General features: G+C 43.8%; 1 protein-coding gene across 5 annotated transcripts in view, besides 1 other annotated feature; it reads right to left on the bottom strand.

The window, feature by feature from the left end:
* EYA2 (EYA transcriptional coactivator and phosphatase 2) overlaps positions 1-21,088 on the bottom strand; it is a 294,002-nt gene that overhangs the window by 42,446 nt on the left and 230,468 nt on the right. For 4 of the 5 annotated variants that reach the window (NM_005244.5, NM_172110.4, XM_005260327.3 and 1 more), the window contains one exon: positions 3,251-3,340. The exons of the other annotated variant lie outside the window; for it this stretch is intronic. In NM_005244.5, the coding sequence (NP_005235.3) occupies positions 3,251-3,340 (90 nt within the window). The remainder of the gene's footprint in view (positions 1-3,250; positions 3,341-21,088) is intronic. 5 annotated transcript variants of the gene reach the window in all.
* Positions 20,162-20,675: an enhancer, noted in NCBI's record as "H3K4me1 hESC enhancer chr20:45754363-45754876 (GRCh37/hg19 assembly coordinates)". NCBI's record gives its function as "activates a minimal SCP1, AML or CMV promoter by ChIP-STARR-seq in naive H9 embryonic stem cells {active_cell/tissue: H9 hESC(naive)}" and the evidence as "EXISTENCE:reporter gene assay evidence [ECO:0000049][PMID:30033119]".

The following is a 21,088-nucleotide window of genomic DNA, read 5'->3' as shown; positions in this document are numbered from 1 at the left end:
AAGACTCTGAAGACATCAGCTTGAAATACACAGAAATCCCACAAAATACCTGGCTTTGAGTCGCAGGTTCAACCAAGATCCACAAGGCGCCTATTCCATGCCTGGTGTTGTTACTGCAGTGGAGGTTCAAACTCATCTATCTGCTGCCTGATCTGGCATCTTCACCAGGGTGTCTCAGACATCTCAAACCCCACGTACCCCAGACAGGGGGATGGGATCCTCCACTGCATACCAAACACCTCTTCTGTTTTGCCCATCTCAGTGAAGGACAACACATCCTGGTCAGATCAAGCCCAGGAGTCCTTGCCACCTCTCTCTCCCCCAACCTCCACATCTAGTCTATCAGCAAGTCCTCTTGGCTTCACCTCACCCTCAAGTCCACGTCTTCCTACCACCTGGATCCAGTCCATTTTCTTCTCTTGCTTGGACTATTGCAGTAGCCTCTTGGCTGGTCTCTCTGCCTCCACATTTCTTTTCTTTTTTACTTTTTTTTTTTTTAAGATGGAGTTTCAATCTGTCGCCCAGGCTGGAATACAGTGGCTTGATCTCAGCTCACTGCAACCTCTGCCTCCTGGGTTCAAGTGATTCTCCTGCCTCAGCTTCCTGAGTAGCTGGGATTACAGGCACCCGCCACCACACCTGGCTAATATTTTTGTATTTTTAGTAGAGACAGGGTTTCATCATGTTGGCCAGGCTGGTCTTGAACTCCTGATCTCAAGTGATCCACCCGCCTTGGCCTCCCAAAGTGCTGGGATTACAGGTGTGAGCCACCATGCCCAGACCACATTTCTCCTCTGACTGCCCATTCTCCACACAGCAGCCAGAGAGGTCTTTTTAACACACAACCCAGACCATGTGGCTTTTCCTTCTTAATATCAGCTTGCCCCAGAGATGTCCAAGGCACTTAGAATGAGCTTCGATTGCTGTAATATCTCCTGCCCCAGGCTCATCTATCCTGGCCACCTCCATACTTTTACTCCTGCACTTCGGCCTCCATGCCTTCTCTCTGATCCCAGGGGCCTTCATGCTTGTTCTCACTCAGGACCTTTGCACTTGCTGTCCCCGCCCCACTGCCCCCGATCTCCATCTGAATGGGTGCTTGTCATCCTTTGGTTCAAGTGCTACTGCCTTAAGAGGCCTTCCCTGGACCGGCCCCCTCAAGAATGCTGCCCCCCAACCCTCCTCCATCCCCATCACTTGTTCTCACATCTGATTATTTTATTTTCTTCATATCCTTTTTATTATCATAAATGGTCTTGTTTATGGATTTGTTTGGTTGTTTACTGCCTGGGCCCTAGAGATTCAGGGTCAATCACACAGAGTGGTCCCTGTTCTCACAGAAGTGGGGGCAATAAGCAAGAATGAAAACAACCCTGGACTTTTCAACTACAAGGGCCAATAATTTCCACTTTTGGTTAAAACGAGTTGGGTTTTGATCTTTGCAATCGGCTGAGTCTTTACCGCATTAGGCTCCATAAATACTCACTGAATTCAACGGCCACAGTTTTTGTTTGTTTGTTTTCTCTCTTGTGTCCTTCGAGCCATAGACGTCATCGTGAAGCGAGCCTGAACTTTGCTTTTGAATAGAGACAGTCCCAAGCCTTGAAGCCAATGGTATTTATTCTCCATTGCTCCAAAGCTCTCTTTCTTCCTCAAGTTTCTACCTAGTTCTGCTCTTTGAAACAGATGTTGGGCAAAGAATACCAATTCCATTTTATAGATGTGAAGACTGAGGCCCAAGAGGCTTACATAGATTAGACAAAACACAAGACTGATTATTTCAGCAAGGATTCCTCTCTCTGGAACTCCAGCCTGCAGACTAGAAAGAAAAATCTGTATGCTTTCCTAATGATAAATATTAGTAGTGCCTTGGGCTAGCCAGGATGGATTTGAAATCCATAACCTTTATATTTCTACTTCAGTTTAGTCCCCAGGGATATTCCAGATTCCGGGAAAAAATATTCCTACTAAGAGAAATAGAATTGTTTTTTTGTATACAGTTTTATTTTAGATTGCCTTTCTTTTTCTTTCTTTTTTTTTTTTTTTGATGGTGTCTTGCTCTGTTGCCAGGCTGGAGTGCAGTGGCACGATCTCTGCTCACCGCAAGGTCCGCCTTCCGGGTTCACGCTACTCTCCTGCCTCAGCCTCCTGCGTAGCTGGGACTAAAGGTGCCCGCCACCATGCCCGGCTAATTTTTGTATTTTTAGTAGAGACGGGGTTTCGCCATGTTAGCCAGGATGGTCTCGATCTCCTGACCTTGTGATCCACCCGCCTCGGCCTCCCAAAGTGCTGGGATTACAGGCGTGAGCCACCGCGCCCGGCCGGTTGCCTTTACTTTTCAATCTGTTGAACCAATAAGGTGAACATAATTTACAAAGCCAGAAGATTTCCTTACTGATCCTTTTATCAGCCAAAACCCCTTCTTCACGTTGGAGAAAGTTGCTTGCTCTTTCATTAGAGAGAAGTAACTCATTGTATTTCCCTCTTTACTTTGGCTACCAGGAAGTGATACACTCTGAACTTGATTGCAATAGTTAGCCTGAGCCTGGATTTTTTTTGTGCAATGTCTTACCCTTATTCATGACATAGCTTTGCTTCCGCTTGCCTTTGTGTTACTAGTTCTATTCTAAATATGTTTCCCATTCGAAATCCTTTCTGACATAGGCTGGGTATAAACAAATGAATTCAATTTATTTTTGAAGCTGCTCTCCCGCTTTTTTCCCTATCTCCCTTGGATCTTGCTTACGGGCTCAGGAGCAGATACTTTAAATAAGCATATTCCCTCTGCTCACTCTCACTCTTTCTCTTTATAAAACATGCTTTCAGGGGAATGTAAATTGTTTTTAAAAGCTTCCACCCTGGGCCACTGCTAATTATTACTGACCCAGGAGGATCTGTACTAATTTGCCTTAATAAACTTATTAAATAGCAAATTTCAGGAGGAAGAAACTACATAGCCATTATTGGATTAGTAAAACTGCCAGTGGACACTACCACTGGAACAGAGAAGAGCCCGTTAACTGCACAGGAAAGCTAGGGAGATAATTGAGCTAAGTGTGTTTCCAATAAACCATCACCGGCCACAGTTTTGGGCCTTTTTGGGGGTTGTTAGCAAAAGTTTCAAGCTTCTAAAAGAAAAAGGAGAAAAAAAGAAAAAGAAAAAGAAAGGAAAGGCAGCATCCTTCTTCCCATAAACTAGATGCAGGTGATTAAACATGGCAAATATTAAATGAAATCAGCAACCACAAACCTCCAGGTCATTGAAGAACAGATGTGTATCTGCAAGGTTGAAGATCATCTCTTCCATCATAAGGCCAATGCGCACGGACGTCGTGGTGTCCTGCGAGGCAGAGAAGGGGAAAATCACATGCACGCGGAGCCTGAGGAATCTTAGCTACCCTTTTGGTCCCATTCCACTGCCGAAAAGCAGTTTTGGTTTTTCCTCATCTGCTCGGCTCACGCGTGGCCTAAAATGAGTCTCTGTGTGAGGCCGGTGTGATAATCATGTTGTACAGCTTCCGGGATCTCACTTCCAGTTTTCACCATTTCTTTTTACCCTTTCCAGTATTTAAATCTCCTGGAAAATGACCCTGGGATTGCAACAGTGTTCAGCGTTGCAAGGACACTTATCACAGATATGATATGGCTGTAATAAAACAGGGCCTCCTGGCAAATGCATGTTTTCAGGGGTTGCCCCCAACACATTTTTGTTTTCAGGGAGGTCTGGAAGATTTCAGTATAAACTACTGGGAGAGTTGGGATGTTGAGTCTCTCTCTCCAACAATCTCTCTAGGCACACTGCCTTACTCCCTCCTCTTGATATTTAAAAAAATCCCTGTTATCCAACAATAGAGGGTTAATGATAAAAACACACAAACACAAAGGCACTATGGTACATTCATAGGAGGGAAAACTAGGCAGCCATTATACAAACGAAGTCATTCTGGAGTTACTGATATGAAACTGTCATCAAGAGATACAGTACTAAGTAACAAAAGCAAGCTGCAACACAGCATAACGTATGAATTTGCACACTTGTGCAATGAAAGTGCCTCCTTTCTGTATACACAGTGTGGTAGACTGTACTGCTGTTCACCCATATTTGGGGTCCCTCCCTGAGGTGCTTCTCCCTGCAAAAGGAGGACATGTAGCAGGGGTTGGCAAGCTGCAGCCCCCACGCCATACCTGGCCTGCTGCTTGTTTTTGTATGACTAATGAGTTAAGAATGGTTTTTACATTTTTTTAGAAAATCAGTGTATTGTCTACACTGTACTACAAAGTCAGAGGTGAGTAGACTGTGTGTCCCACAAAGCCTAAAATATTTACCATCCAGCCGCTGACACATACCCTCCCTGTTCAATTCAGGTTATGATTGATTAATATTGGGAGGACATGAAGAGAACGTTTGCATATGTGTGATGGGGTCAAGGGTGAGAAAAGAGAGCTCAATTCTTCTATTTTGGGAAGCAAGAGATCATACCTACAACTGAAAAAACATACTTCTTGTATGTGCTACAAGAAGGAGCACATACGCATGTTACTTAGAAATTGGACCATGCAACTTGCTTTGGCCAGTGATATGTGGGCAAAAGTTATGTTTCACTTTTGATCAGAAGTTTTTAGGAGCCAGTGCACACTTCCCCATGCACTCTCTTTTCTCACTTCACAAGGCTGCAAGTATTCTGGATATTTATTCTGTTAGCCTGGAAGGCAGCTATGTTCACCAATGCCCACACATATTCTGTTGGCTTGGGTTCCAGAATAAAGATGATGTGGATCAGAGATACAGCTGACCACAATGGACATGTATCATAAATGAGAAGTAGATGAGATTTTGGGGATGTTTGTTACTGCAGCATGCCCTTACCTATCCTAACCGATACACATGGAAAATATGCAGCACAATGGTTTCCACCCCTGGATACATATTGTGATGCTCTGAGAAGCCTTTAAAAATCCTGATGCCCAGGCTGCTCTCCAGACCAATAAAATCAGAATTGCTGACAGCAGGGTCCAGGCACCAAGAAGTTTAAAGCTCCCCAGGTGATTTCAATATGCAGTCAAGGTTAAGAACCACTAGTCTAGATTTCAATATGCAGTCAAGGTTAAGAACCACTAGTCTAGGAGGATATAAAACACACTGTTAATAATATTCCTGGCTAATATTCCTGGCTAATATCTATGAAGTGCTTTCTCTGTGCCACTTTATAAGTATTAACTCATTTAATCCCCACCAAACTCTGTGAGGTGAACACTATTATTTTTCCATTGCTATGGTTTGGATTTGGTTTGTTCCTGTCACAACTCGTGTTGAAATTTGATCTCCAATGTGGCAGTGTTGGGAGGTAAGGCCTAGTAGGAGGTGTTTGGGTCATGAATAGATTAATGCCTTCCCATGAGAGTCAGTGAATTCTCAGTCTCTCAGGAATAGATTAGTTTCCAAGAGTGTGAGTTGTTAAAAGAGTTGACTTCCTCTCTCCCCATGTGATCTTTGCACACGTTGACTCCCCTTCCACTTTCCACCATGAATGGAAGCAGCTTGAGGCCCTCACCAGGTACAGCTACCCAATCTTGAACTTGCCGATCCCCAGAATCATAAGTCAAATAAACCCCTTTTCTTTATAAATTATCCAGCCTCAGGTACTCTATTATAGCAACACTAAATGGACTAAAACACCCATTTTATAGATGAGAAAATGGAGGCATACAAAGGTTAGGCAACTTGTTCAAGGCCATACAAGCTAACAAATGCTGAGATTAGAACATAGGTAATCTGGTTCTGGAACAACACTGCTTCTGAGGACTCAAAGGGGCTGAGTTGGGAGAGGAGCGACAGGGGCCTTGTCCCCTTGCTCCATACAGTCCTTTTCCTGTTTAAATTTTTCACTGGAGGCTATATTATTTCTATTATAAAAATAAATAATTAAGGACATAAACCCTTTTTGACCCTTAAAAAAAAAGAAAGAAAAAAATGCAGCTGGTGATCTCAGCTTCACACACACAACTGTGAAGAATCAGGCCCAGGAACACAGCCATTAGGCAAAACACTTCATCAAGGCCCCGAGAGCCAAAGCTTAGCACTCTTGGTCCTGGCTGGAAGTCGATGGGGCAGGGTACTCAGTGAAAAATGAAGAGCAAATGAGGAAAACAAACTTCTCAGGGCCTAGGAGGGAATCGTGTGTGACCTGGGAAAAGGTTTTGCATTACTCATATCCAAAGCATTTCACCTCTGCACAATCACACACTCCTCTTTGACGGAGCAATTCGTGCACCTAATCACTGATTACCAACCCTCCATGTACTGGACAAGAAGCAAGAAGGAGCTGCCACCCAGACTTGTTTGCTGAAAGGATTTATTCTGAAAGTTGTCACCTCCCAGGCCAGCACACAGAGAAGGAAAAGTAATTATTGCATACCAAATGACTTCTCTGTGAAGAGTATTTATATAGTTGTAAGAAGGCAAATACCGCATATTGGTAAAGCTCAAGTTATGATTGACTGATACTGGGAAGACATGAAGAGAAAGTTTGCATGTGTGTGTTGGGGTCAAGGGTGAGAAAAGAGAGCTCAATTAGTATATTTTGGGAAGCCAGAGATCATGCCTACAATGGGGGGAAAAAAAGAATCAAGAAGTAGCACCTAAGGATGTTACTTAGAAATTTGGGAGTGAGGCTGGGTGCAGTGGCTCACACCTGTAATCCAGTGCTTTGGGAGGCCGAGGCGGGTAGATCATTTGAGGTCAGGAGTTCGAGACCAGCCTGACCAACATGGAGAAACCCCGTCTCCACTAAAAGTACAAAAATTAGCCGGGTGTGGTGGCGCATGCCTGTAATCCCAGCTATTCGGGAGGCTGAGGCAGAATTGCTTGAACCCAGGAGGAGGAGGTTGTGGTGAGCCGAGATTGTGCCACTGCACTCCAGCCTGGGCAACAAGAGTGAAACTCCGTACCAAAAAAATAAAATAAAATAAAAATAATTTGGAGGTTACATTTTTAAAGGCAGCAGCAAGAGTTGTTGCCCCTGGGCAGGAAAAAAGGGTGGTGGGCAGTCACTGAGGACTGCTGTTTTCCATATATATTCCTTTGTAGAACTATGAATATTAAACTATAGGCATATATTTCTTGGATTAACAATTTAAAAATAACAGGCAACATACTCAGTAATTCCACTTTTCATTATCTATCCTACAGAAAATCTCATACACATGAGCAAGGGGACATATCGAAGATGTTCATTACAGAATTGTTAGTAAATAGCAAAAGATTGGGAATAATTTAGCTATCACTTCAAAGCAGACTTGAAAAATGAAATGTGGTCTATTCATACAATGGGAAATGAAATTTCAATGGAAGGAAATGCACCAGATCTCCATGTATTAACAGGGACACATCAAAAAATACACTGGAGTGAAAAAAAGTTTTCTGATTGCATTATGTACTATGTACTGTATGTTATTACCGTTTATTAGAGACACATAAAATGTTACTATATTTTCCATGTGCACTTACATATTTATACATATCTGAAAGGCTGTACACAAAAAGAAAGGCAGTTACTTCTAGAAGGCAGAGAGGAAGGAACAGGAATTAAAAGTGATGGTCAAAGTGAACTTCAGTATTATCTAGAATATTCTAGATTTTTTTTTTTTTTGAGACAGGGTCTCACTTTGTCACCCAGAGTAGAGTGGCACAATCTTGGCTCACTGCAGCCTCGACCTCCCAGGTTCAAGTGATCCTCCTGCCTCAGCCCCCAAGTAATTGGGACTACAGGTGTGCACCACCACGCCTGGCTAATTTTTTTGTATTTTTTTTTGTAGAGACAGGGGTTTCACCATGTTGCCCAGGCTGGTCTCAAACTCCTGAGCTCAAGCGATCCACCCACCTCGGCCTCCCAAAGTGCTAGGATTACAGGCGTGAGCCACCATGCCCAGCCTTCTAGAATTTTTTAAAAGAGAAGGGATTCAAATACTTATCATGTAATTAAACATTTTTCTAAAGATTGAAGACACCCAAATGTTTATATGATGAGCCTTTAGAATACCCACCTACTCTTGGAGCATTCTTATTATTTCAGATTTTCCTAAGATTGTTTTAAGCTATGTAGGTGGTACCTCTGTTCAAAAAACACGATAAAAACTAGTTGCACAGAGGCAGAAAAGTCTGGAATAGCCTCAGAAAAGCAAGGCTAACTCAGGAGTCAAGTAACACAGTGTTGCCCTGGGTCAGAACACTTTTTTTTTTTTAATTTTTAGTTTATTATTATTATACTTTAAGTTTTAGGGTACATGTGCACAATGTGCAGGTTAGTTACATATGTATACATGTGCCATGCTGGTGTGCTGCACCCATTAACTCGTCATTTAGCATTAGGTATATCTCCTAAAGCTATCCCTCCCCCCTCCCCACACCCCACAACAGTCCCCAGAGTGTGATGTTCCCCTTCCTGTGTCCATGTGTTCTCATTGTTCAATTCCCACCTATGAGTGAGAATACGCGCTGTTTAGTTTTTTGTTCTTGCGATAGTTTACTGAGAATGATGATTTCCAATTTCATCCATGTCCCTACAAAGGACATGAACCCATCATTTTTTATGGCTGCATAGTTTATCCAAGTAGGAAATGTTTTTCCAGGGTTGCAGAGAGCAAGAAACTAAAAGAAAAAAAAATTTGGTGGTGACTCAGTATTAATTTATGTGAAATACATCTGGAGTGAGGACAAGACAAAAGCCATCAGTTTCATCCTGGGCTGCCTGCTGAATGCAGCCCTACTATAAACCATAAATATTCCATCCTGGTGTCTTGACTTTAGTCACAGAGGACAGCTTGGAGGCAACCCTCTGTCTGACCCAGAACTTCTCCCAGTCAAATAAAGCCTAAAATAGACAGCTTTCACACCATGCTCTTTCGGGCCACTGACCCCTTCAAGTCCAGCCTGATCCCTCTAAGACCTAACATTGCAGTGAGGATTAAATCAGACAGCACGTGTGGAAGCACCTAGCCCAGGCCTGGACTGCAGCAGGCACTCCACAAGCATTGGTTATTGTCAAAATCCCCCAGTCCCCTTCCTTGAGCCTTTAAGCAAAGAATCGTTTCTGCGAACCCAGCAGGAAGACCCCACATCAGTTGGTACAAAAGCTTTTAACATGCCACTTACATGAAACCCATTTTCTGAAGCATTACATATTCTTTGGATTAAAAAACAAAAAACAACAGTGGTTAATTTCCTAAACAAGCAACAGCATAAGTGGATTACTTTAAAAAAAATCAATTTAAACCAGAATGAACTGAGAGGAGGTAGTTTTTCCAAAACAGGCTTCAATGTGTAACTCATCCTGGGAAGGACCATGCTGGGGGCTAAGGGGTGGGGGTGGATGGAATGTCATCTTTGTTTGACTAGAGAACTTGTGGGTGGTTCTCTTGAGGCGAAGGTACGGATCAGACAAAGACGCTGTAGATTTTCTTAGCGTGCCCTAATGTTCTACAGATTTCTCCGGGTTCAGTTTTTATGATGGTGTGGTGGGCTCTGCATACTTGTGTGGGAGGCTGGTGAAGAGGTTTCGAGTTGGAACTGCCCTTCAGGAGAGAGGCTATGGACCTGGATGGCAGCTCAGTAATATAACTATTATGCATTCTTGATGAAGTTCTTTTTTTTTTTTTTTTGAGACAGGGTCTCCCCTGTCACCCAGGCTGGGGTGCAGTGGTGTGACCATAGCTCAATGCAGCCTTGAACTCCTGGACTCAAACAGTCCTCCTGCCTCAGCCTCCCAAGTAGCTAGGACTAGAGACGTGTGCTAGCACACCTGGCTTATATTTTATTTTGTGTAGAGACAGGGTCTTGCTATGTGGCCCAGGGTAATCTCAAACTCCTTGGTTCAAGTGATCCTCTTGCCTCAGCCTCCCAAAGTGCTGGAATTACAGGCAAAGTTCTCTGAATTATAGGAGGTTGGTGGGGCCTTTCACCACGTAGGCGGCCCAAAGATCTGCCTCGTGGATCACTATCTTGGGATGTATGGTTGTATTTCTTGGATGAAAGGGAGAGGATAAGAGTATACAAAAATCTTTCTTAAAATAAAATTAATCTGATGTAAAGCAAACATGAATGAGTTTCAAAACGTGAATGCCAAAGTTATTCATAGTTAATTAAGACTAAACAGTTGTTTTCTATCAAGTGTCTCTACCATCCTCAAATTTATCAGCTCTCCAATTTATGCCGTATTGTAAGTCTACTTCCCAGTCCACATAGATTAGGAGGTAACTGTTCTCATTTCAAAATAACACATATAGATTTTTACCAAAAAATTGTTTTAATGAATCAGAACTCTATCCATTAAAGACTTTTTTTCCTGGATTTTCCAAGTTTTCTGTTTCTTTCTTTTCTTTTTTGAGACAGGTCTACTACCTATGTCACCCAGGCTGGAGTGCAGTGGCATGACCATAGCTCACTGCAGCCTTGATCTTCTTGATCCTCACACCTCAGCCTCCTGAGTAGCTAGGATTATAGGCTTGCACCACCATACCTAGCTAATTAATTAATTAATTAGTTTTTTGTTTGTTTGTTTGTTTTTTTTTTTTTTTTTTTTTTTGTAGAGACAGGGTCTCCTTATGTTGCCCAGGCTGGTATTGAATTCTTGGCCTCAAGTGATCCTCCTGCCTCAGCCTCACAAAGTGCTGAGATTACAGATTTTGCAAGCTTTCTGTTTCAAGCATGCAGCACTTTTGTAATAGATGACTCTAAAATGTGTTCAATTCAAAGAAGTGAGATTTACATACTAATTAGCTGTACAACCCTTTGAACAAAAGGAAGGCATGCCGATTTCATCCTGAAACTGGTTTATGTGACTGTGGGATTTTGAGTTCCTTCATAATTCAAATATGAGTTCCTTCATAACTTAACTCCTGGCTGAATAATAATAATAATAATAATTAATAATAATGTTGATAATGATAATGGCCAATCTCTAGTGAGTGCTTTGTTGTACAGGTGAAGAAGGTGGGCTCTAAGCCAGACTACCTCTGATCAAGGCCAGTTCCACTTCTTACAAGTTACTTAACTTCAGTGTGTCTCAGTTTCTCATCTGTAAAATGGGCTTATATACCTGATAGGATTGTTGTAAAGATTAAATACGTTTTTGTAAAAGTGCAGGTTATAATCCTTTTAGTGAAAGTTTAATGAACAGCATTAAAAAAAAGACTGGAAGAAATATAATAGAACCCAGGAGTCAGCAAACTATGGAACTATGGCCTGTTGTCTGTTTTTTTTTTTTTTTTTTTTTTTGATATGGAGTCTCGCTCTGTCGCCCAGGCTGGAGTACAGTGGCGTGATCTCGGCTCACTGCAAGCTCCGCCTCCTGGGTTCACGCCATTCTTGTGCCTCAGCCTCCCAAGTAGCTGGGACTACAGGTGCCCGCCACCACGCCCGGCTAATTTTTTGTATTTTTAGTAGAGACGGGGTTTCACCACGTTAGCCAGGATGGTCTTGATCTCCTGACCTCATGATCCGCCCGCCTCAGCCTCCCAAAGTGCTGGGATTACAGGCGTGAGCCACTGCACCCGGCCCGTTGTCTGTTTTTGTAAATAAAGTTTTGTTGGAACCTAGCAGTGCCCATTTGATCACTTAATGTTTATTTATGGCTGTTTTCATGGTACAATGGCATAGTTGAGTAGTCACCACAGGACCTAGCTGAAATCCTAAAATATTTATTATCCCTTTATAGGAAAAGTTTGTTAATTCCTACAATAGACAACGAACTATCAGAATCTATCATACACAGCAATGGTGAACACCTATTCCAGTTGGGGTGTGTGTGTGTTTGTGTGTGTGTGTGTATGTGGTGGGTTATAGTGTAAAATGTATTTCTTACTGTGACCATGTAAAAAAAATTAAAAACAATAAATTAATGACTGTTTAAGTGCTTAAAACCATGCCTGGAACATAGCAAGGTCTGAATAAATGTTAGCTTAATAATAGCTACTGTTTATATTGCTATTACTGTTACTATTATTACTGTGTAGCTTGTTCAATGTTGCTTAGCTTGTAAGAGAAAGTGTTGGCACTGAACTCAGGTCTAATCTGACTCCAGACTCCATAATCCTCTGGTTAGGCCACCACCCCTGTCATGGCTTTTTTGCTCTGAGGGAGCGTCTGCCTTCCATGGCTCAGCTGCATGACTGGGCAGAAGGGATGTGCTGTCCCCTCTGTGGAATCTCCAAGTGCACCAGACATCTACGCTATCTGGTGGTCTTTACTTGGGAAGAGCCATTTAGCTGATTTCATTTGGGGTCTGCTATAAAGATTTAGAGGCTGGCTGTGCAGGAAAGGGTTAACTCAGCAGGCCTGGGTTGCTCAAACCCTGCACATTCCTTAAGAAATGTCTGTCTTCAGGGCTGGCCCTTGGCCAGTTCCTGGTGCATGAGCTCCAAGCCCTTGGGCCACACCATGCACTTCCACTTGAGATAGTTTAGGCTAAGAATGTAGTTTATGGTGAATGTCTATTTTTGCTCTGGGGTGCTGGTGTCTGAGTGGCTGAGGTCAGTTACTTAGGTGTCGCATGCCTATGTCACTGACCCCCAATAAGACCCTGGACATCAAGGCTCAAGTGGGCTTCCCTGGTTGGCAACACTTGGCATGTGTTCGCACACATTGTTGCTGGGAGAATTAGGTGGAGTGTCCGTGCTCCCCTGGGAGAGGACTCCCGGAAGATTGTGCCTGGTCTTTCCTGGATTTCACCCCATGTGCCTCTTCCCCTTGCAGATTTTAATCTGTGTCCTTTTACTGTAATAACTGTAACTGTGAGTCTAACAGCTTCTCTGAGCCTTGTGAGTTCTAGTCAATCATTGAGGCCGAAGGTGGTCTTGGGGATTCCCAACACAGTGTCTTTATTAGACACCTTCAAAAAACAACCGGTTAGCAAAGGAGGCAGCATGCTATTGTGGAGATACCCAATCTCTCTGAGAATGAGCAGTCACATCCGTAAATTAGCAGTTAATAATTTTTAGTAAAAATAACACCCATTATGGGTCTTTCAGGGTGATCTCATAACCCATCCCTGGCTAGAATCATAGTGATTGATTCAAGGATGATTATGAGCCAATGGGCATTGGCCTGAGGACTTTAGCTATGACTCCTGGGAGAGGCACCTTTTTTTCCTGGGGTGGCTGAGCTGGTAGATCTAGGCTCAAGGATGCCGGCAGCCATCTCTGTCACCCTACAGGCAGAGCCTTCCTGACAGTGCACACAGATTCATATGAAAATATTTAGGGAGCTGGATCCCACCTTGCTTTAGGTCTACGTTTGGACATCTTGGTGACATGAACAAATTCTCCTTTTTGGCCTAAGCTGATGTGCATTGAATTTCTGTCGCTTATAATCAAAAGATTCTTAACTCAGCATGCAACGTGCCAATTCCAAGCAAAAACGGGTGTTTGCGGCATAGACAAGGCCTGCTGAGCAAGCCCAAGTGTTTCTTTACATCTTAGCAATGGTCGAGCTTTGCCAGGAAGCACTTTGGAAAGACTGTCTTCTCTTCTGATGGCACCTCTTGCTACCCCCACCCCAAGGTGATTTAAGCCAAGTCCATGGAAGGGCCTGGGTTATTATGTAGTCTGAAAAGAGTAACCTCTCCCTTATACAAGCATTGCCTAATGGGGCAAGGGACTCACCCAAATGGCCACCACAAATTGCCTCCATCATTCACAAGGTATCCATGAATGTGGCCATAGACAAGAATCTCCATGAAGCAAAGTGGTTGAGAGCATCACCCATGGAGTTGGCAGGACCCAGGTTCAAATCCTGGGACTGCCATTCCCCAGGTACATCACCTTGAAGGAGATGTTCACTCTCCCTGGGCCTCAGTTTCTTCAGCTGAACATAAGCAGTGAGTCCTTTCCAGGGCTCCTGAGGATTTGTGTGTGGTGTGTCTTGCAAAACACCTGGTGCCTAGGTATTACTAACAAAAAGCAGCAGCATTCAGAAGCTTCCAACAGAAGACTTCTCCCGCTGAGAAATTCCCATGCGATAGTTTAACCTGTTATTTTCCAAACTAGGGCCATTCTTGGAACACCTTTGCAAGTTCTGCCAAGCTACAGAGTAGCTGTGTTATTATTAACTTAATATTTTCCTTTAATTTGGCTACTCCCTCCTTCTAAAACACCTCGCTGGGGGCATGGTGGCTCACGCTCATAATCTAGTGCTTTGGGAGGCTGAGGCAGGAGGATCGCTTGAGCCCAGGAACTGAAGACCAGCTTGGACAACATAGTAAGACTTCATCTCTACAAAAAATTAAAAAATTAGCTGGGCGTGGTGGTGTGTGCCTACAGTCCTAGCAGGAGGATTGCTCAAGCCTGGGAGGTTGAGGTGACAGTGAACTATGATTGCGCTACTGCACTCCAGCCTGGGCAACAGAGTGAGACCCTGTTTCAAAGACAAAAACAAAATCTAAGTGCATTTTAGTTTAGAAAGAAACTTGTTATCATGATCATAAATAGAAAACCTGGTGTAGTCACCATAAATGGGAAGTCACCATGAATATAAACACATGTAATATAGTTTCCCGTGGCTGCCATAACACATTAGCACAAACTTAGTGGCTTTAAACAATGTACACTTATTCTCTAATAGTTCTAGAGATGAGAGGTGTCTGCAGGGCTGCGTTCCTTTGAAGGCTTCAGAGGAGAAGACTGTTTCCTTGCTTGTGTTAGCTGCTAGAGGCCACCTGCATTCCTGGGCTCATGGCCCCTTCCTCATGTCACTCCAATATCTTGCTTCTGGCCTCACATCTCCTACCGCCCACTTTGACCACCCTCCCTTTTATAAAAACCCTTCTGATTACATTAGGGACACATAATCACAGCTGCAAAGTCCCTTTGGCCATAGAAGGTTAACAGCCACAGATTCTGGGGACTAGGATGTGGACGTCTTTGGGGTGCCATTTGTCTGCCCACCACAGCATGCAATTATAAAATTGCCAAATGCGGTTATTTTGAGTATATCATCCATGAATCTGTTTTAGGGCAGTGGTTCTCGGCAGGTGTGGCACCTCCGCCTAGACAGTGGTTTGGAAATTTGTGGGGGAAGCATTTTGTTCGTTGTAATAGTTGAGAGGGATAGTGGTATTTGGGGGTGCCAAGGATATTAATGTCTTCTAATGCACTGTAGGAAGTTGTACAGAAAGAAAAATTGTCCCACAACCCATGTGACTTTCATATCTCCTGATGAACACTCACGTTGTGAAAAACCTGTTTCTAATGATCTGAGCCTAGAATCTAACTCCTTTATAGAAGTAAACATAGAGTATTTTTGATTTTTTTTTTCTTGAGATGGAGTTTCGCTCTTGTAGCCCAGGCTGGAGTGCAATGGCGCAGTCTCAGCTCACTGCAACCTCCACCTCCTGGGCTCAAGTGATTCTCCTGCCTCAGCCCCCTGAGTAGCTGGGATTACAGGCACCCGCCACTACACTGGCTAATTCTTGTATTTTTAGTAGAGATGGGGTTTCACCATGTTGGCCAGGCTGGTCTTGAACTCCTGACCTCAGGTGATCTGCCTACCTTGGCCTCCCAAAGTGTTGGGATTATAGGCATGAGCCACCTCGCCCGGGCTTTGCATGGTTTTGATAAATACTGAATATACTTGTTTGTATCCCATGGTCCATCCCATCTCTGTTCTTCCATTTTCCTTTACTTCTAGTAGAGAAGAGCCCCAGATCTTCCTAGTTCTCTGAAATGCAACCTTTTAAATGAGAAGTGGGTGGTAGTATCAGACTCCTTTGTCATGTCTTCTATTGCGGTCATGTTTGAGCATTTACATACTGAAATACATATTTTTAGAAAATAAACCTTCTCGGCCGGGCGCGGTGGCTCACGCTTGTAATCCCAGCACTTTGGGAGGCCGAGGCGGGTGGATCACGAGGTCAGGAGATCGAGACCATCCTGGCTGACATGGTGAAACCCTGCCTCTACTAAAAATACAAAAAAATTAGCGGGGCGTGATGGCGGGCGCCTGTAGTCCCAGCTACTCGGGAGGCTGAGGCAGGAGAATGGCGTGAACCTGGGAGGCGGAGCTTGCAGTGAGCCGAGATTGTGCCACTGCACTCCCACCTGGGCTACAGAGCAAGACTCTGTCTCAAAAAAAAAAAAAAAAAAAAAGAAAATAAACCTTCTTTTATTTCTTTCCGTTAAGTTACAGTTAGGATACTACATTCATTTTTTTTAAAGTAGTGAGTGGTCAGCTATATTATTTGGGGTTTTCATTTTGGGATCATAAAAAAGGCATTTTAAGAGATTTATTTCAAGGTTGAAATCTGCTTTAGGAAAAACTGGCAGCTAAGGCAGTGACTCAGACCCTGATGCTAGCCATCCTCATTTGATCTGATCCGTGGTGGGGGTTGGAGGGGGACATGCATGTGACTGGGGTGGGGGGCACAACTGCTCCCCTGACCTGAGGGCTCTAGCACTTCACCTGGTCCTTATACCCCAATTGCCTGATTTCTTCCAGGTTTTCCAAGGAGCAAGGGATTAAGAGATAGTTCCCCAAAATAATAATTCTTATCAGAGCTTTGCTGGTTGGATGGTCTACTATGCACCTGCTCCTGCGCTCAGCACTTTATTTGCATGTTGTCATTTATCTTATTTCCAAGGCACCTTCAGTCCATCACCAAGAGAGGGGGGCGGTGAGGGAGGAAGACAAGGAGCCCCTCTGTGTGCTGGGCCACTATAAAGGCAGCTAGCCTCCCTTGTCCCCCATGTCTGTTGTCCACACAGCAGCCAGAGTGCTCTTTTTAAAACAACTATCAGAGCTGTGCTTTTCACTTAAAACCCACTGGCTTCCCCTGGCCCTCTGAGTAAAGCCACCGTCTTCTAGTGGCCTCATGTGCTCTAGTAACCACCTACTCTTCCACTCTGCCTTGAATCTGCCAAACTTGCTCCTGCCTCAGGGCCTTTGCACATGCTGTTCCTCAGCCTGAAATCCCCTCTTCCCAGGCTCTTTCAGGGCTGGATCCTTTGTAACATTCCATTCCCACTTTCAATGCCAGAAAGGTCTTCTCTGACCATTCCCTATGAAATAAACTAACATACTCCTCCCCACTCACTCCACATCCCATTACTCTGTTGCAGTTTTAAACAGCATTTATCATTGACTGAAATGCTCTTATTTATTTATTTATAATTTTTTGTGCTTCTCCTCTAAGTAGGAGGCAAACTCCATGGGAGCTATTACTGTGTCCCTCATACCTAGATCAGAGCTTGAATGGCAGATGCTTGGTTAATTTATTTTCTTTTTTTGAGACAAGAGTCTTGCTGTGTTACCCAGGCTGGAGTGCAGTGGCATGATCTTGGCTCACTGCAACCTCCGCCTCCTGGGTTCAGGTGATTCTCCTGCCTCAGCCTCCTGAGTAGCTGGGACTATGGGCACATGCCACCATGCTCGGCTAATTTTTGTATTTTTTAATGAAGACAGGGTTTCACCATGTTGGCCAGGCTTGTCTCAAACTTCTGGCCTCAAGTGATCCACCCACCTCGGCCTCCCAAAATGCTGGGATTATGGGCATGAGCCACCGTGCCTGGCCATTTTTTTATTTTAAATGAATATATGAATATGTGTGAACTTTGTGTACATTATCCCATTTCCTCCTCAAAATATCTTTTCCCTGTTTTACAGATAAATCAAAACTCAGACTGATGAAGTGACTTGTCCAAGGTCACGCTGCCAATAAGTGGCAGAGCTGGGATTCAAATCTAGGACTGTCTAACTCAAGAATCCAAAATCTTAACCATTTTACTCATAAATATATCTTCATGGGAACTAGTAACATAAAATGAAATGATTTATTAGGAAAAAAAAGCTTAGGGCAGATAACCACCAGATTTTTTTTTTTTTCGTAAATGCCTGATTTGTAACTGTTGATGTCTACTTTTAATGAAACAAACAACATGTTTAATGACAATTACACTTCCAAAGTGAGGAGAAACGGCAGGCAGCTGCCACCTAAAAATCAGCCCTGATTCTTTTCTCAGGTCTCAGGCTGGCTTTCCTCTCTGATAACTGCAATGCTGGTCTTTGGAGGGGACAAAAGGAGAGCCCACAGGGTGGGAAACCGTCTCCCCTTATTGCTGTGGAGTATGTGTGTCTTTAATTTCCTGGACTTGATATGAAAAGGCAAAGCTAACTGGAAAATCCCTTCCTTGTCAGCTGCCATTTGCTGCCTGCCAAAGGCCGGGAATGGCTCTGCGGGAACCAGACACCTTGGCCGCGATTGGAAATCAGCTCATTTTAGCTGCCCCCGAAGGGCTCAGAACCATCTCTCTCTGCTCCCAGCCTTTCCCCTCACTTACTTGTAGCCCATGTCTTTCTAGGATGTCACCCTAGGAGTCAAAAACAGGTGTGTTTGTGAAAAGATTAACTTTAGGGCCTCTTTAGATCCATTAATCTTATCAAATGCAACATATCCAAAGATAATTTTCAGAAAACAGCAACACTCTCTGAATAATGTCTTGGTCTGTCAGCAACGCTAGCTGTCTGTTTCGCTCTTGTCAAGGGTCTTGCAGGTGGGATGCCACGGTCAGTCCTTCCAGATAGAAACACGAAGCCTACGGCCCTTGCTCTAAGAAGCTTGAATTCTGACATCTTAAGCATTGGACTCAACCCAGTCCCAGGATTAAGCCCTCCAGGACTGTCTGCTTATCTTTCCAGCTTCAGACACAGCTCTGAGCCCTTGGGGAGGAGAGTCTTGGGAGCCCCAAAGAGGCATCAGAGATCTCTGAACACATCCCTCAGCCCAAGGAGGCTCAGAGGGTGAAATTAGTTAATCTGCTTTGTGCTCTTCATACATATTTTCTTTTCTTTTTTGTTATCTTGGCTCACTGTAACCTCTGCTTCCCGGGTTCAAGTGATTCTCCTGCCTCAGCCTCCTGAGTAGCTGGGATTACAGGTGTGTGCCACTACAGCTGGCTAATTTTGGTATTTTTAGTAGAGATGGGATTTCACCATGTTGGCCAGGCTGGTCTCGAACTCCTGACCTCAGGTGATCCTCTCGCCTCGGCCTTCCAAAGTGCTGGGATTACAAGCATGAGCCACCGAGCTTGGCCACATAAGCATTTTCTTAAGGAAACTTGCATAATAAGTAGAGGTAGATGTTTGGGAATTTGGGGACTGTCTTCAAATATTCTTGTACTAACAATTTCATCCGTAACTAACTGTTCAGTTGAGAACAGTTAGTGGCACTTTAGATGTGTTTCTGAAGAATTTCTGGTGGCCTGGTTAACAAATTCACTAAGTTAATTAATTAACTTTTTTTTTTTATAAGAGATTCAGCCTAATTTTGAGGGGGTGGGGTGGGGACTGATGGGTGCATTAATATTGCTTTTGTGTGTTTACAAATTGCTTCTAGAGTGAGCATTTGAGCATTCTACAAGAATGAAAAGTCTGAGTAATTATATAAGAATGAAACATTTGAGGATTCTACAAATCAGGGTTTTTCCGCTTTGGCACTGTTGGCATTTTGAGCCAGATAATTCCACGTTGTAGTTCCATCCTGTGGGTTGTAGGAATTTGAGCAGCATCCGTGGCCTCTACCCACTAAATTCAGTAGCACGCCTACCCAGTTGTGACAGTCAAAAATGTCTCCAGACGTCACCAAATGTCCTCTGAGGGACAAGATCACCCCTAGTTGAGAATCACTCCTCTAAATGATTTTTAAAATAATGAAAAAGCTTGGTCCTTAGTGTTAGTAAATTAACTTTGGAATTACAGAGTGGGCAATGAAACTAACTTTCTAACTTGTTAATGAAACCAGCTTTCTAACTAAGAGATGAACTAAATGAAAAAAAACAAACCTAAGTCTCTCCCCGCCAGCTGAGTGGGAGGTGCCACTTTCTTGTCTCAAGGGGCAGCTCTGCCCAGTAGTTAGGACTGACTCCTGCAGCCAGACAGCTGGCTGCAATCTGCGCTCTGCCCTTATTGCTAGAAGGTACGTGACTTGGGACAGGCCACTTAACCTCACGAAAACCCACGGCATCTACCTCCCTGAGACAGGTTAGGGAGGTGATGGGTGGAAAGCACTTGGGATGCATGGGCGGCTTGCGGCAAGCACTACTAGCGGGCTAGTCATCCTTGTTCACAGAATCGCTTCTCCGGGGCCTGGTTGGTCACACCTAGCATTTGCACTGGGCTGCCCCTTTCTCAGGTGCCACGCGAAGGGAAGGTCGGGGGAGGCGTTTGGCCTCGCGCTTTGCAATCCCAGGCCCTTTCCTTTCTTAACACTCAGACTGCATTTGGGCTGGGCTTGTGTCTCCTTGGGGGCCTTGTCTGGGCTTGCAGACTGTTGCTGCAAAGTGCAGACCTGCCCGTCTGCAGACCTGCCCTCTCTGGAGATGTCTCAAAAATACAGGCAGCTTGCTGCCTGCCTTCGCCTCACTTTTCTTCTGTGTCAATTACCCTGACGTCCTGAACTTCAGGACACATGTGCTTCAGCACCAATCCTGGAATGGAGATCTCCTCCCCTCTCTCTTTTAAAGAAAAAAAAACACACACAAACACACAAAACACATCAAAACCATCACACTATCCAAGCCAACTGGGTCTTTAAAAAATCACCGCCAAGGAGCTGTTTACAAGTTGAACAAATAATTACTCTGCCACAAGGAAGAAAAGTATTAATTAAAGCTGTTCATTAAACCAGCTCCCTATTCTGTGGGGTTTATCTCTTGGAAGTGTCAGCCAGAGGTCAGGAATGGATTAACACACAACAGAGAGCTTTGCCAGTTAAATCTCCTCCTTGTGGTTAGCTTTTAATAATAAAGTTGTCATTAAAAGAAAGAATTTAATGGTTTTAATTGGGTTTAATTACTTGGAAACTTTTGGAAGGCAGATCAGCTTGTTTAAAAAAATTTTTTTTAGAGGAAGACAAGAAAATGATGCTGATAAAGAAAAAATAAGTTGATTCACATGTTTAAACAGTAAAGTTAAAAAAAAACTTGGCTTCTTCGACAGTTTTGTGGGAGAACACCAAAAATAGAAAAGATAATGGGTCTATCTGTACTAACAAGAACTTAACTGGCCAGGCAGGTGGCTCACACCTGTAATCCCAGCACTTTGGGA

This window comes from Homo sapiens, chromosome 20, assembly GCF_000001405.40.
Source record: "Homo sapiens chromosome 20, GRCh38.p14 Primary Assembly".
Classification (NCBI taxonomy): Eukaryota; Metazoa; Chordata; class Mammalia; order Primates; family Hominidae; genus Homo; species Homo sapiens.
The sequence above is the reverse complement of the archived record's forward strand: the minus strand, read 5'-3'. Positions and strand labels throughout refer to the sequence as shown.